Here is a 17,404-nt window from a genome sequence, read left to right on the forward strand (position 1 = left end):
TTTCAGCATGGATAGGGTCCCATGTAAGATATGGACTACATAGGAGAAGTGAATTTAGGAAGAAAGTTGATGCATTCAGTATACTTCACATAGAGCACTGGATGCGTATGGACATTTGGGTAAAGATATCTAAGAGGCAACTGAACGTCTGAGCCTGAAAGTTGGGGATGCAGAATGAGCTAAGGAGACAGATCTGCAAGTTGTCTGCCCCTGACTGGTAATCAGGGACCATGAGACCTTCAGAGAACCCCTGGAGAGGGCTCAACGTGGGAAGAAAGCCTAGGCAGAGCTCTGGAGAACACCAGGTAAAACGGCCTGGCAGAGGAAAAGGAGTCATGGAGGACACTGAGAAGCACAGTTAGAGAGGATGAAGGAGAACCAGGAGGACACGATGTGATTCGGTACAAAGGAAAGATATTACAGGAAAGAGGAAGGATAGTGCTAAGATTAAGGGCATAGCTTCTGAAGTCAGACCACCTCCATGCTGGTCTAGCACTTAATAATTGGGTGAAATAGAGCAAAGTATTCTTTTACGCTTTATACCTCAGTTTTCTCATCTGTAAATGGGTATCTTATAGGACTATTGTTAATATTAAAAACATTTAGACTAGCACCTGCCATGTATTATGTTCTTAATAAATATCATTTTTTATTAATATTATAGATTTCTCTCTTCCATTTTTGTCAACTTCCCCAAGGGCAGAGACTACTTTTTTTGAGACAAGTTCTCACTCTGTCACCCAGGGTGGAATGCAGTGGTGCAATTATGGCTTACTGCAGCCTCAACCTTCTGGGCTCAAGTGATCTTCCCATCTTGGCCTTTCTAGTAGCTGGGACTACAAGTGTATACCACCATGCCCAACTAAATTTTTTAAATTATTTTTTGTAGAGACAGGGTCTCACTATGTTGCCCAGGCTGCTCTCAAACTAGGGCTCAAGCAATTCTCCCACCTCAACATCCTAAGTTGTTGGGATTATAGGCATGAGCCACCACACCCAGCCACAGAGACCACTTTTTAAAAATCTTCTTTGTATCTCATTCACCTACCACAGCATATAACTCATAATAGGCACAAAGGAAATAGTTGTTGAATAAAATCACTCTACTAGGACCCTCTACGTGGCCAGAGCATCTTTTGTCATAATAGTTAGTCAGAGATTTGACCCACGGAGTCAACGTTCTGAGAAAAAAGTTTGTTTTTCTCCAAAGTCAGAAAAGTCTATTTTGGTTGTTTCCAAAGACATTTAATGTGCTTAAAAAATCCTAGAGTTGAAGAGACTTTAAAAGTTATCCAGTCCAATGTCCTTATTAATGCAAGAAACTTTATATGACATCCATAAAACTCAACTTCCAATGACAGCCAACCCACTCCCAGCCCATTTCTCTGTTAGAAGGTTTTATTTTATTCTTAGATCTTGAACACAAGGCGGCCTCCCTGCAATTTTTACCAACTGATCCTAATTCAATCTTATAGAGCTACCCAGCCTACTTCTATACCCCTGAGAAGATAACAATCCTTCAAGAAACTGAAGACAACTACAGGCATCCCTTATTTTATTGGAAGAAGGTACCACCTAGGACTTTCACAGCTAGAGAAGAGAAGTAAATGCCTGGCTCCAAAGCTTCAAAGAACAGGCAGAGCCTCCTGTTAGGGGCTAATGCAGCTTGACTTGAAGTTGAAGTCAACGCACATTGACCATTCTGAAAATCTAGAGCCTTTAAGAATGGCGCTAAATCTACTCTACCTGTGCTCTATAAATGGAACAGAGCCTGGATGACAGCACCTGTGTACAGCATGGTTTACTGAATGTTTTAAGACCACTGTTGAGACCCAGTGTTCAGAAAAAGATTACTTTCAAAATATTACTGCTCAGAGACAATGCACCTGATCACTTAAGAGTGCCGATGCAGACATATAAGGAAATTAATGTTCTTTTCATGCCTGTTAATATAACATCTGTTCTGCAGCCCAAGGATCAAGGACAAATTTTTAACTTTCGAGTCTTATTATTTAAGAAATACATTTCATATGGTTATTGCTGCCATAGATATTGATTTCTCTGACGGATCTGGGCAAAGTAAATTGAAACCCTTCTGGAAAGGATTCACTATTCTAGATGCCATTAAGAACATTCATGACTCATGGGAGGAGATCAAAATATCAACATGAATAGGAGTCTGGAAGAAGTTGATTCCAATGCTCATGGATGACTTGGAGAGGTTCCAGACTTCAGTGTAAGAAGTAACTGCAGATGTGACAGAAATAGCAAGAGACAGCAATTCCAAGAGCAATTCCACAGACCCTCTAAAGAAAGGAGACTGCTCCTGTAGGACCCAGGTGAACCCTCAAAACTGTGAGTGCCCCAACTGTGGAAGTTGGGAAAGGGAGACCCTCCTCTCCTAAACACACACCCCCACTGGAAAAGCTGAAGGTCTGTTTGTGGGAGAAGTTTCTGACTTTATCTGGAGCTGAGTCAATGTGGAGAGCCAAGTGAAATACAGGGGTAGAGGAAGCAGCAGAAAGGCCCTGGGAGCTTGCTGGGTGCCTTAGCAGGCTACTCCTGCCTGGCACCTCAGGGATCCAGCGGGAGAGGAGCAGGGGGTAAAACTACACAGGAAGAAGCAAATCTCTAGCTGAACTTAGTAACAATTTGAACAGGGTGAGAAGCCTCCTGGCCAGAACCAGGGGGAGGGTGCAAATCCAGTATGCAGACTCTACAGGCCTGGGAAAAATCCAGACCTTTTATTTCGCAACTAGGAGGCGAGTAGCCTGGGGCAGGTTTTCAAGCTGGTATTGCTCTCTGCCTGGAAACAGTCTGGGGGCTGATAAGGGACACGCAGGGAGTGAGACCAGCCCTTCGGTTTGCATGGGAGCTGGGTGAGGCCTGTGACTGCCGGCTTTCCCCCACTTCCCTGACAACCTGCATGACTCAGCAGAGGCAGCCATAATCCTCCCACGTACACAACTCCAGTGACCTGGGACTCTCACTCCCATCCGCCACAGCAGCCGCAGCAAGACCCACCCAAGGAGAGTCTGAGCTCAGACATGCCTAGCCCTGCCCCCACCTGATGGTCCTTCCCTACCCACTCTGGTAGCCGAAGACAAAAGGCATATAATCTTGGAAGTTCTAGGGCCCCGTCCACTGCCGGTTCTTCCCCGTAATACCACAGCTGATGCTGTCTGGAAAGCACCACCTCCTAGCAGGAGGCCAACCAGCACAAAAATAGAGCATTAAACCACCAAAGCTAAGAACACTCACAGAGTCCATTGTACTCCCTACCACCTCCACAGGAACAGGTGTTGGTATCCATGGCTGAGAGATCCATAGACAGTTCACATCATGGGAGTCTGTGCAGACAACCCCCAGTACCAGCCCAGAGCCAGGTAGACTTGCTGGGTGGCTAGACCCAGAAGAGAGACAACAATCACTGCAGTTCAGCTCACTGGAAGCCACATCCATAGGAAAAGGCGGAGAGTACTACATCAAGGGAACATCCTATGGGACAAAAGAATATGAACAACAGCCTTCAGTGCTAGACCTTCCTTCTGACAGAGCCTACCCAAATGAGAAGGAACCAGAAAACCAACCCTGGTAATATGACAAAACAAGGCTCTTCAACACCCCCCCAAAAATCACACTAGTTCACCAGCAATGGATCCAAACCAAGAAAAAAATCCCTGATTTACCTGAAAAAGAATTCAGGAGGATAGTTATTAAGCTAATTAGGGAGGGACCAGAGAAGGTGAAGCCCAATGCAAGGCAATACAAAATATGGTACCAGAAGTGAAGGAAGAAATGTTCAAGGAAATAGACTGCTTAAAGAAAATACAGTAAAAAATTCAGGAAAGTTTGGACACACTTTTAGAAATGCAAAGTGCTCTGGAAAGTCTCAGTAATAGAATTGAACAAGTAAAAGAAATTCAGAGCTTGAAGACAAGGTCTTCAAATTAACCCATTCCAACAAAGACAAAGAAAAAAGAATAAGAAAATATGAACAAAGCCTCCAAGAAGTCTGGGATTATGTTAAACGACCAAACCTAAGAATAATTGGTGTATCTGAGGAAGAAGAGAATCCTAAAAGCTTGGAAAACATATTTGGGGGAATAATCAAGGAAAACCTCCCCAGCCTTGCTAGAGGCCTAGACATCCAAAAACAAGAAGCACAAAGAACACCAAGGAAATTCATCACAAAAAGATCTTCCCCTAGGCACATTGTCATCAGGTTATCCAAAGTTAAGACAAAAGAAAGAATCTTAAGAGCTATGAGACAGAAGCACCAGGTAACCTATAAAGGAAAACCTATCAGATTAACAGCAGATTTCTCAGCAGAAACCCTACAGGCTAGAAGGGATTTGGGCCCTATCTTCAGCCTCCTCAAACAAAACAATTATCAGCCAAGAATTTTGTAAATCCAGCAAAACTAAGCATCATAGATGAAGGAAAGAGACAGTCTTTCAGACAAACAAATGCTGAGAGAATTCACCATTACCAAGCCACCTCTATAAGAACTGCTAAAAGGAGCTCTAAATCTTGAAACAAATCCTGAAAACACATCAAAACAGAACCTCATTAAAGCATAAATCGGACAGGACCTATAAAATAAAAATATAAGTTAAAAAGCAAAAACAAAAAACAAAAAAACCAAAGTACACAGGCAACAAAGAGCATGATGAATGCAACAGTACCTCAGGTTTCAATACTAACATTGAATGTAAATGGCCTAAATGCTCCACTTAAAAGATGCAGAACCGCAAAATGGATAAGAACTCAGCACAGCAAAAGGAACAGTCAGCAGAGTAAACAGACAACCCACAGAGTGGGAGAAAATCTTTACAATCTATACATCTGACAAAGGACTAATATCCAGAATCTACAATAAACTCAAACAAATCAGTAAGAAAAAAAACAAACAATCCCATCAAAAAGTAGGCTAAGGACATGAAAAGAAGATACACAAATGGCCAAGAAACGTGAAAAAAATGTTCAACATCACTAATGATCAGGGAAATGCAAGTCAAAACCACAATGAGGTACTACCTCACTCCTATAAGAATGGCCATAATCAAAAAATCAAAAAACAGTAGATGCTGGCATGGATGCGGTAAACAGGGAACACTTCTACACTGCTGGTGGGAATGTAAACTAGTACAGCCATTATGGAAAACAGTATGGAGATTCCTTAAAGAACTAAAAGTAGAACTACCATTTGATCCAGCAATCCCACTGTTGGCTATCTACCCAGAGGAAAGGAAGTCATTACTCAAAAAAGATACTTGCACACACATTTACAACAGTGCAATTCACAATTGCAAAATTGTGGAACGAACCCAAATGCCCATCAATCAAGTGGATAAAGAAACTGTGGTATATACCTATATGGTGGAATACTATGCAGCCATAAAAAGGAATGAATTAATAGCATTTGCAGTGACCTGGATGAGATTGGAGAGTATTATTCTAAGTGAAGTAACTCAGGAATGGCAAACCACACATCATATGTTCTCATTGATATGTGGGAGCTAAGATATGGGGACGCAAAGGCATAAGAATGATGCAATGACTTTGGGGACTTGGGGGAAAGAGTGGGAGGAGGGTCAGGGCTAGAAGACTACAAATATGGTACAGTGTATACTGCTCGGGTGATGGGTGCATCAAATTCTCACAAATCACCACTAAAGAAATTACTCATGTAACCAAATACCACCTGTACCCCAATTACTTATGGAAAATTTTTTTTTAAAAAAGAAATAGCCAGAGAACTAGAATTATAAGTGGAGCCTGAAGATGTGACTGAATTGCTGCAGTCCCATGATAAAACTTTAGCAGATAAGGAGTTGCTTCTTAGAGATGAATAACGAAAGTAGTTTCTTAAGATACAACCTACTCCTGGTGAAGATGCCATGAGCATTGTTGAAATGACAAGGGATTTAGGGATTTAGAATATTCCATAATTTTAGTTGATAAAGCAATGGTAGGCTTCGAGAGGATTAACTCCAATTTTGAAAGACGTTCAACCATGAGTAAAATGCTGTCTAACAGCATCACATGCTACAGGCAAATCTTTTGTGAAAGAAAGTCAGTTGATATAACAAGCTTCATTTTTGTCTTAAGAAATTGCCACAGTCACCTCAACCTTCAACAGCCACCACCCTGATCAGTCAGCAGCCATCGACACTGTGGCAAGTCCCTCCACCAGAAAAAATATTACACTTACTGAAGGTCCAGGTGAATGTTAGCATTTTTTAGGAATAAGGTATTTCTGAATTAAGGTATGTACACTTTTTTAGACATAATGCTATTGCACACTTAATAGACTACAGTATACTGTAAACATAACTTTTTTATTTTTTTGAGACAGGGTCTCACTCTGTCACCCAGGCTGGAGTCCAGTGGTGCAATCTCGGCTCACTGCAATCTCCACCTCCTGGACTCAAGTGATTCTCCCACTTCAGCCTCCTGAGAGCTGGGATTACAGGTGCACACCACCACCACATCCGACAAATTTTTCTATTTTTTATAAAGACAAGGTTTTGCTATATTGCTGAGGCTGTTCTCAAACTCCTGACCTCAGGCTATCTGCCAGCCTCAGCCTCCTAAAGTGCTGGGATTACAGGAATGAGCCACTACATTTGGCCAAACATAGCTTTTATATGCACTGGAAAGCCAAAAAATTTGTGTGACTCACTTCATTGTGATATTTGCTTTATGCCAGTGATATGGAACTGACCCAGCAATATCTCTGAGGTAGGCTTATACATTCTAGGTTTTTAAAAAATTAACAGGACAAAAATCAACACTGTATCAGCTGGTGCTGTCATTTTAAAAATACCATAGACTGGGTGACTTATATAACCGAAATTTATTGCTCACAGTTCTGGAGGCTGGGAAGTCCAAGATCAAGGTGCTATTAGAATGAGCCAATTCTGATGCAAGTGGATGGAGCAAATACAGTCTTAAGGCTCAATATTATGAGTATATACTTCAGAGTATCAACCCTCTGAGCTCTGTACCGGTCTGCACTAGGTGGGGACATTCACAGCCTAGCTTGCCCAGAAACAGATAATCAGGACTACTGGAGGTTTGGAAAGTGTGGCATTCATGTAAAGAAAGTTACAGCAACAAGTTAAGAAGCCCTGCCACACTTCTGGTTTGTGAACAACCAGCATTCAAGAGTGCACACCTATGCCTTACAGGACATCTCTGAACGCAAGTTGTTAAACTATTCAAATATATGTCTTGGTTTTAGTGTAGCTCTTCAGCCTGTCAAGACCACTTAAGATAGTATAATTTGATCTGAGATTGACCATCTCAGCTATCTGTTTTAGCTTAGTATCATCTATACATCTGAGTGAAATGTCTCCTACAGCTTCATCCAAAGCTCTGGAACAACATAGCAGCATCACTGGTTATCTAGCCCAGGAAAAATCACCTCACCTCTTTGATCCTCCATGTATTTCCCTATAAAATTTGGTTAGGTAGTCTTTAAAGCTAAGTACAAAACAGCAGTTTGCATAAAACTTTAAGAAGCCTCCCTATGAAGTACACAATATACTATCACCAGGATTTTTACTGAAATTCACTAACATGAAATTATATGCCCAATTTTGTCTGAATGGGCATTTTCTAAAGAAAAGATCTATAGTTTTCATGAGATTCTTAAAAGGGTCCAAGGGACCACTATTCCATGAAGATGGTTGTTCAAGTAGCTAGCTGCCCACCTCACTGCACTATTTTAACACATTCCTCTACCTCTATCATGAAAATGAAAATATTGAAGCAGTCTACTATTTTCATAAAGTAACTGTGAATTCTCCTCAAACTTCCTAAAACCCATGAGCTTCCTCCCAACTCAGGAAGCAGCTATGGTTTTCTATGTCTGCTGCCCTTCAGAAGGGTTGCCATAGCAGAATAGAAAAAAACTAAAGACTCAAGATCCCAGAATTTTAGTATTAAAGCCTTTGAAAATGTAGGCTGCCGGACTCAAGGCCTGAAGTATATGCCTTAACCACTGGATATAGATGTCTACCAAATCAAAGACAAGTGCAGTTCCATCCCAAAAATAGACAAGGATTCTGCCAGTAAGGGGGAGTCAGAGGAAGAGAAGAGCTGAGATATTAAGGTATCTCTGAAATGGAGTCCCACTCCTGTCCCCATCACTGGTGGGAGAGGGTGAATAATAGAAACTCCAAATGGGTTTGGGGACATCTGTTAACACTGAAAACATTCCAGCAAGATCCACAGAGATATCCCACATCCAGAGTGGAAACAGTAGAAGAATCATCAATGTGTGGGCACCTGGGCAGACAAGCCTAAAACATCATCAGGGCCTCCAAAATCCAGTGAGGCAAAGGAAGAGTTCATGGTATTCCCCATGAGCCCAGGAGGGATGGGTAAATAACAGAAAAAGAGCAAAACCCATGAGGCCTCTGACTTGGTATGAGGCTGACACAGCACAAACACCAGAGACCAGGGGCCAGAAGGAGCAAAGGTGTGTCTATCAAAGCCAGGTTAGATAGATGTTGCCAACCTAAGGCCTGACACTTGATGTCCCCTACCCGATGACTTGAGATGACATAAGTGTCCTCCCCCTCCCCACAATGTACAGGAAGGTGAAGGACAGGGAGATCCTGGGACCAACTAAGATTTAGTATTTGCCATTCAGCAGAATGGAGATTCAGTGAGAAAATGTGTTCAGTTACAGAAATTCTACAAAAGATACACTTCTTAAATACTCAAGTTTATGGGTAGAGACGTATATCTGCAACAGAAATCATGACAAACGATGACAAATGTTCTACTAAAATCACATAGCACCGTGCTCGTGTCTATGGCATTACCCAGGTCCATACAGTCAAAGCAGCTTTTCAAGAAGGAAGTGTGACAACTCTGACGGTGGTGACCCTTTTCTCCTGCTAACCAGTGCTGATTTAGACCAAGTGTTCACTCTTCCACCTGATGAGCCAGGTATGGCCTGCCAGGTTCTTGTTTGACTGAAGCAGTCCATTGTCAACAAAAGCCCTTAAAATTTTCAGACCCATCTTATCCCTTCCATGTTTTATGGTGCTAAAGTCTGCTGTCTTAACTAGTCTTTTGAAGCACTTGAGGAAATTCAATGCTTCTTTTTGAGGCAAATATTGATCCTACCCACGGGATATGGGTATATCCTATTCAACTGATGTATGACAAAAGATAGACATCAGGCTCTTGAACATTTTGACAATTCTGCATTATTCTGGAAGGATTGGGTGGATGGATTCTTCTGCAGTGAAACAGCATAGAACATAGATACTAAGATCCAAGTTGGAAAAAAATCCAATGACAAATCGGTTTAATTCCAGCCTTTGCCAAAGGCTCCTGTGAGACTTCCAATATTTAAGGGAGTCCTCAGGGTCATGATACTAGAGTATCCATTGCCCCTCTTCCAGATATTGCCCCCAGCCATGGGTTACATAGCAGAAAGCAAGAATCTGGCTTATATCATCTAAGCTCCCAGCAGAAATGACTTCCCTTAATCAGGATTTTTATTCTCTGTAACTTTTATATATGATTTATACGAAAAATATCCCTTTAAACAATGTTCCTGTGACTTTTGCAAGACCCGAGTTAGTTACTGCCTGTTAAATTGTCCCTTCTGTAAAGAGCCAGTTGATAAATTACTTCGTGATTCAGAGCAAGAAAAGCTTGAGTTCCTGAAAGTGTTTGTCTCTGTCCTGCTGTCAAACAATAAAAATTACATAACTCAAAGATTTCCTTGTTTGCCTTATCTTTAGGAAACTCAGAAATAATTATTGTGCTCTCCTGCAGTAATTGATTTATCTCAAGGACATTGTGACATTGATTTCTCTGCTATATTAATTTGTCTCTGGTTTAAATTGTGTATTGTGTTCGATTTTGTAAACAGCCTCAAGCTTTTCTGAAAATAAGTGGAATATCATTGAAAGAAATGCATTTTAACTTCCCCGAGATTTGGTTTTCTTCAAAATATCTACCTCAGTTTTATGGTTATATGAATTCACCTATTTGACTAATTTCTGTCACCTCTATTAGAATGTAAGTTCTATGAGGGACAAGAGTACATCAAATTTGCTCACTGTTCTACCTTCAGTGCCTAGCACCATGCTTGAGGGTTAGGGTGCTACAGTAACTAACAACCTGAAAACTTCCCCATGGCTTAAAGAACAAAGGCTTCTTTTTTTCTTGCTCACTCTACATATCCACTATAGAGGTTGGCTGTGACTTTACCTCTCATAACCACTGGAATGTTGTCCTGTCCTGGCAAAGAGAAAAGAGATATGACAAACCACAAATCATCTATTAGCACTGCATTGGCCAAACCCCAGTCACACGGCCAGGAAGGGAATGGGTAGCCCTCCCAGGGACAGGTACTGCAGGGAGGGTTTGGAATATCTGGAGACAATAATGCATCTATAACGTATAACATAACCTGAGCAATTAAGTCAACTGGACTTACAGATTACATTTTCCTAAATTAATGCGGTGCTCTTTAATTATTTCTTCCCATATTTCACCTTTGGTCTTTGAAACTTGTTTTAGAAAAAAAGTTCACTTCAAAGTATCCTGTTGTACTATCAACTTCGTTATACCTAGGTCAAATACACATGATCATGCATAATATCTCTCCCCTTCCCCCTGAATAGCTTAGGAAGTCTAGAGAGCAGGGTATTAACTTTTCCCACTCCAGTATACTCACAGAGGCCTCAGTGAATAGTTACAGAGCCCATGTCAGGGTTTCCATCTCCTACTATAGGGAAGAGCAGATCAACTGATAATCTGTCGTTGGATTTTTTTCAACCTGGATCTTAATATCTATGTTCTATGCTGTTTACACTGCAGAAGAATCCATCCATCTAATTCTTCCAGAAGAATGCAGAATTGGGAATATGTTCAAGAGCCTGATTTGAAGTTTGAAACTTCACTTGAACACTTTGAAACTTCACTTGAACACTTTGAAACACCTGAAAACCCCAAACAAAATAAAATATTCTTTTGAATGTATGCCTAAGCTTGGAAGAAAATAAGAGAACTGCAGGGGCCAAAGACAATGAGATGGAAACTATAGCAGGCAGCTAGAGAACAAAAAGTGCAACAGTCACGCTGGTGAAAGGCTTTCCGGTTTGATGCTAACATTACAAACCTGAGGCTGAGGTTTTAATGGCTTCATAAAAGCAGAAGACCCCACTTAACTTGGGGAGTTACACTGAGGCCCCAAATAAAGCTATAATCCACAAAGGACCTCAGCCTAAGTAAAAGGTATACCCAGACTTGCCAGATTTAGCAAATAAAAATATAGGCTGGCCAGTTAAATTGGAATTACAAATGAACTTTTAATATAAGTGTGTCCAATGCATTATCTGGAACATACTTCTCCTAGAAATTTTTGTTGCTGTTTATCTGAAATTTAAATTTAACTGGACACCCTGTATTTTTATCTGGCTGTCCTAGAGACACTAGAAAAATTACCCACCAACCAGCACAAGGAGTCAACAAGAATGCTTGCCTATCTCCATGTGGACTCTCAGTAGTGGGGGACAGGTGGGAGGGAAAAATATCCTCCCTTAAAAATGAATAATCATGGGTCTGCCTTACACAGATTTATGGTTCAACTTTATACTGCATGAGCCTCATCTACCAGGACAGAAATTAGCCTAACAAAGGCCCACCAGACCATGATACCTCAGCATTCCAAAGATAAGCTCACAACTCAAAATTGCAGTTGGGTCGCTTATGTACTACAAGCAAAGCAGGCTCCTTCACTTGTCAGTTTAAAAATTCAAACTGCACAAAGGCTTTGAGACACGTCTACAGAATCAAACAAGCTGATTCCTTCTCTGTATTCTCGTAGGTAGGGCAAATCAAAAGGTTCGATCCTGTGGCTTCACGCTGTGATTCTCATTTGGCCAAAAACACAGCTGAGAAAAAAAAAAAAGAAAAGGAAAAAACAAGCCAGTTCTAGCATTGGAAATGTAGCATTCATTAATCCATTAAGAATAAAAAGGAATGAGATCATGTCCTTTGCAGGGACATGGATGAAGCTGGAAGCCATCATCCTTGGCAAACTAACACAGGAACAGAAAACCAAACACCGCATGTTCTCACTCATAAGTGGGAGTTGAACAAAGAGAACACATGGACACAGAGAGGGGAATAACACACACTGGGACCTGTTGTGGCCGGGGCAGGGAGGGGGCGCGATGGGAGGGAGAGCATCATGACAAATAGTTAATGCATGCGGGGCTTAAAACCTAGGTGACAGGTTGATAGGTGCAGCAAACCACCATGGCACACGTATACCTATGTAACAAACCTGCACATTCTCAACATGTAACCTGGAACTAAAAGTAAAATAAAATAAATAAATAGGTCCTTATGACCTAGAAAAAAAAAAGAATAGACCTTAAGGCACTTTGAAGCTTTTAGTTCCCTTTAATCATAAAAGCCACTTATTAACTAAAACTAGAGATAGCTCAAGCTATCTGATTTTAAAGGCTTAGTCTCAATGTGTCCCTTCCCTGAAATCCCAGTAGAGTAGCCAATTGTCCTGAAACCCGCTTGGATTTAGCAATGAAACACCTCAGTCCTGGCCAAACCAAGACAGTGGGTCTCAGGAAACATTCTTCATCCTAATAAAAGGCAAATTAAGTACAGTTGACCCTTGAACAACATGGGGGTTATGGGTGCTGACTTCCCATGCAGTAAAAAATCTGGGTATAACTTTCGATTCCACAAAAACTTTGCTAATAGCCTTAACTGTTAACTGGAAGCCTTACCAATAACACATACAGTTGATTAACACATATATTGTATGTATTATATTACAATAAATTAAGCTAGAGAAAAGAAAATGTATTCCTTTAGCTGCCATCCTGCCTCCCTGTGTGCTTCTAATCTCAGCTGGTCTCACCCGGGACTCCCCAAGTGCCAACCCTAGTCCCCCACGCAGCCCCTTTTCCACTCAGATAAGATGAAAGAAACAATCATGAACCAAAAACTCACCAAACGGCAAGCAGAAGTGCACACTGGTCGGAAAGGAACTGCTCACAGGAAAAAGGTGGTTCACAGCATCTGAGACGCTGTGTTTGAGGGCAAGTAGGCCCCTTTGACACCTTTGGTGTTGAACTCATGAGGTTTTGAATGTCCAGGGACATTGGCCAATATCAAAAGAACTTTAAAAGTCAGTTTGGTAAGGTACTTCTTGACTTCAGGGACAAAACAGCAATGGAACCAATCCAGAAAAAGGGTTCTCATTGTCCAGGCCTTCTGGTACAACCAAAAGACTGGCAGCTGGCATTTATCTTGTCCCTTCAAGGCTCAGAGGTTAACGGTTTTATACATAAGGGTAGTCCTGATCATAAACCTAGCGACAGCAGAGGATAAAAAATTTCAGTTCTCCTTAAAGAAATTAGGGGTAAACAATATCCCTGGTATTGAAGAGGTGAATATGTTTACACACCAAGGAACAGTGATTCACTTTAACAACCCTGAAGTTCAGGCATCGCTGGCAGCAAACACTTTCACCATGACAGGCCATGCTGAGACAAAGCAGCTGACAGAAATGCTACTCAGCATCGATCATAAACCAGTGCTGCAGATGGTCTGACTAGTTCAAAGAGACTGGCTAACACTGCCCAAACAATCTGTGGGTGGAAAAGCACCACTTGCTACTGGAGAGGATGATGAAGTTCTAGATCTTGTGGAGAATTCTGATGAGGCTTCCAACAATGAGGCAAACTGAATTAAGTCAACTTCTGAAGAAGATAAAACTTGAAGTAGTTACTGAGAGCTGCTGTTTTATGTTATGACTGCTTTTTAAAAATGTTTTGTTTACAGATCTAATAAAATCTAGATCTCTAATATTTTTAAGCCCCTTGGACACTGCAGCTCTTTTCAGTTTTTGCTTATATACAATTCACTCTTTGCAGCTAATTAAGCTGAAGAAGCCTGGGAATAAAGTTTGAAACAAAGGTTAATAAAGCTCTTTGCCTAGTAAAATATGTGTGTGCCTGTGTGTGTGTGTGTATGTGTACACACATATATACATGCATACACATATATGCATATATTCACACACATATATAAATACATACACATATACACATACACACATATAGTATTCATTAAGTAGAAGTGGATCACCACAAAGGTCTTCATCCTCGTCATCTTTACATTGAGTAGGCTGAAAAGTAGGAGGAAGAGGAGGGTTGGTCTTGCTGTGTCAGGGGTGGCAGAGGCAGAAGGGGTGAAGGAGGTAGAAGGGGAGGCAGGAGAGGCAGGGACGTTACATGTGTATTAGTCCGTTTTCACGCTAATAAAGACATAACTGAGACTGGGTAATTTATAAAGAGGAAGAGGTTTAACTGACTCACAGTGCCACATGGCTGGGGAGGCCTCACAATTATGGTGGAGGGCAAAGGAGGAGCAAGGGCGTGTCTTACATGGCAATAGGCAAGAGAGAGCTTATGCAGGGGAACTCCCACTTATAAAACCATCAGATCTCGTGAGACTTATTCACTACCACGAGATCAGTATGGAGAAAACCGCTCCCATGATTCAATTATCTCCCATAGCGTCCCTCCCATGACACATAGGGATTATTACAATTCAAGGTGAGATTTGCATGGTGACATGGCCACACTATATCACCATGTAACTTTATGGAAATACATTGTTAATTCCGTCTGATTATTTTTTGGTTTTGCTTTTTAATTTATCTAAATGTTTCTATATGGTACTAATCCTTCTACAACTAGGCCCCTTTAGATTTCAGTACCCCTGTATTTTTAGTGACTGAAATCATGAAAATTCTGGTCAGGTCCTGTCTTGTCTTGCTTGCACATGTTAACCACTCCCTCTTTGACCAATATCCCTTTTTCCCCACAATACAATTATAAACTGCTGATGTACTATTTCTTTGTCAAGCAGAGGGAAATAACTTCAGGGTCACAAAACATTTTTGTAGAAGAAATGAATGCCTTTAAGAATGTTTCAACCAGCTGCTGACACCCAGAAATCTGGCTGCTCAAGGTGTTATCTGAGACTGAAGACAGACTTTTCCCCTGGGTTCCCTGAAACTCCCCCTCCCTTACTCTCCAGCTGCATAAAAACTCTCTGCTTCATCTTTTTGTTAAGATAGATTTGAGAGAGCTTGTTCTCCTGGCTTCTCACTTTAGCCAAATTGAAAAAACCTTTCTCTATCTCCAAGCACCGATGTCCCATTGTTTGGCTCCAGCTGCACATTGGGCACACGAGCCTGAATTTGGGATTCTACAACACTTCCAATGTTTGCTTTAGTTTCAATGCTCATGTTATAGAAGAGTTCATGCCATAAAATAAGTCAAAAGCAGTCTTGACTAATTGGAAGGCTTCTGCCAGGTTGTCTAATGTCAATTTGTTTTCTGGCCCTGCTTCTTTTGACCTCTATTCTTTATTGTCTGGTGCTAATTCAGAAGCACTCATCTCCATCAAGTCATCTCCTATTAATTCCTTTCATGTGACGTCTGCTAGTTCTTGGAGTTCTCTAAGATCTATATCTTGAAACCCTTTATTCCTACCCTTTTTGCCATAGCCACAATCTCTTTTATTATTACCTTGACTGTCTCTGTCATAAATCCTATGAAGTCATGTGCAACATCTGGGCACAGTTTTTTCCAAATGGAATTTATTATTTCAGGCTTAATGACCCAGGATTCTTTTTATCCCAATAATAGCATCTTTAATGGCAGGTAAGCCTTTCAGACTTTCATAATGTTCTCTCTCTCAGATACTCTTCCATAGAGACAATCCTTTCCATAGAGTACAGTGTGTAACGAGCCTTAAAGGTCTTTATGACCCCTGAGCTAGAGGGTGAATTAGAGACACTGTGTTTGGGGGCAAGTAGACACCTTTGACACCTTCCATGTTGAACTCATGGGGTTCTTAGTGGCCAGGGACATTGTCAAATATCAAAAGTACTTTTAAGTTCAGTCACTTACTAGCAAGGTGCTTCCTGACTTCAGGGACAAACCATCAAAGGGACCAATCCAGAAAAAGGGTTCTCATTGTCCAGGCCTTCTTGTTGTACAACCAAAAGACTGGCAGCTGGTGTTTAACTTTTCCCTTCAAGACTCAAGGGTTAACAGTATTATAGTTAAGGGCAATCCTAATCATAAACCTAACTGCATTTGTATAAAATGGTAGAGTCAGCCTATTCCTTCCTGCCTTCAGTCGTGTTGTTCGCTTGTCTTTCTTACTAATAAATGCCCTTTGTGGCATTTTTTTTCCAGAATAAAGCACTTTGATCTGCATTTTAAAAACCTCTTCTTGAAGATATCCATTCTCCTCAATGATTTTCTTAATGGCATCTGGAAACTTATCTGCTGCCTCTTCATTGGCAGAAGCTGCTTCTCCTGTTATCTTGACATTTTTTAAGCCAAATCTCTTTGTAAAATTATCAAACCATCCTTTGCTGACACTAAATTCTCTAGCATTAGACCCTTCACCTTCATTTTGTTTTTAAGTTGTTATATAATGACTTTGCTTTTTTTGAATGATATTAGTATATAGGTATGCCTTTTTTATAGCAATCCCGCATCCACATAAAAAGCTGCATTTTCAATGTGAGATAAAAAGGTATTTCACCAACACAGGAACAGAAAACCAAACACTGCATGTTCTCACTCATAAGTGGGAGTTGAACAATGAGAACACATGGACACAGGGAGGGGAACATCACACACCAGGGCCTGTTGGGGGGCCGGGGGCAAGGGGCAGGGAGAGCCATTAGGCAAATACCTAATGCATGTGGGGCTTAAAACCTAGATGACAGTTTGATAGGTGTAGCAAACCACCATGGCACATGTATACCTATGTAACAAAACTGCACGTTCTGCACATGTATCCCAGAACTTAAAGTAAAATTTAAAAAAACAAAAATAATTTTAAAAAAGGTATTTCACCAAAAGTGCAAGATTTCTGCACCCACTGGCATAGCTGCAGCAATGGCTTTACAACATTCCTTTTCTTTTTTTACAATGATCCTTATGCTGGATTCATTTATCTTGAAATGGAGGGCAACCACAGCTGCAGATCATGATCTACAGTACATATTATCAAACAATCCAACGTTTTCTTGTAATGTCATGACTTTTCTCTGCTTCTTGGGAGCATTTCCAGCATCACTAATGGCATTTTGAATGGGTCTCATGATGTTATCCACGGTTGATGGTATTGCACTAAACACGACAAGAAATACATGAGAACTGTGAGAAATCACTTTTTACCGTAACACCCAATTTACTGGAGAGATGAATTGCTCTTGTGAAGATGATTTTATGCAGTTATAATTATGATTTAATACTCATTCTTTATGTCTACATTTCTTTCAACTTCAAATGGCATAATGTGC

The 17,404-nt window shown here is 40.9% G+C and overlaps 1 long non-coding RNA gene and 1 pseudogene across 3 annotated transcripts in view, besides 3 other annotated features; one reads left to right on the forward strand and one right to left on the reverse strand.

Moving 5' to 3' along the window:
* Positions 2,105-2,776: an enhancer, noted in NCBI's record as "H3K27ac-H3K4me1 hESC enhancer chr13:77491319-77491990 (GRCh37/hg19 assembly coordinates)". NCBI's record gives its function as "activates a minimal SCP1, AML or CMV promoter by ChIP-STARR-seq in primed H9 embryonic stem cells {active_cell/tissue: H9 hESC(primed)}" and the evidence as "EXISTENCE:reporter gene assay evidence [ECO:0000049][PMID:30033119]".
* Positions 2,105-3,440: a biological region, named in NCBI's record as "MED14-independent group 3 enhancer GRCh37_chr13:77491455-77492654".
* Positions 2,241-3,440: an enhancer, noted in NCBI's record as "MED14-independent group 3 enhancer chr13:77491455-77492654 (GRCh37/hg19 assembly coordinates)". NCBI's record gives its function as "activates an origin of replication core promoter dependent on BRD2, BRD4, P300/CBP and CDK7 cofactors, and independent of MED14, by STARR-seq in HCT116 cells {active_cell/tissue: HCT116}" and the evidence as "EXISTENCE:reporter gene assay evidence [ECO:0000049][PMID:35650434]".
* On the forward strand, positions 13,371-14,010 carry BTF3P11 (basic transcription factor 3 pseudogene 11; annotated as a pseudogene). Its single transcript, NR_026983.1, has one exon. The product of NR_026983.1 is annotated as a basic transcription factor 3 pseudogene 11 (transcript).
* A 3,065-nt stretch (positions 14,011-17,075) lies between these two features.
* Positions 17,076-17,404, reverse strand: part of LOC105370269 (uncharacterized) — a 44,572-nt gene continuing 44,243 nt past the window's right edge. For both annotated transcript variants that reach the window (XR_001749929.1, XR_942104.2), the window contains one exon: positions 17,076-17,231. This is a non-coding gene — a long non-coding RNA (uncharacterized LOC105370269). The remainder of the gene's footprint in view (positions 17,232-17,404) is intronic.

The sequence above is a fragment of the Homo sapiens genome, chromosome 13, assembly GCF_000001405.40.
Source record: "Homo sapiens chromosome 13, GRCh38.p14 Primary Assembly".
Classification (NCBI taxonomy): Eukaryota; Metazoa; Chordata; class Mammalia; order Primates; family Hominidae; genus Homo; species Homo sapiens.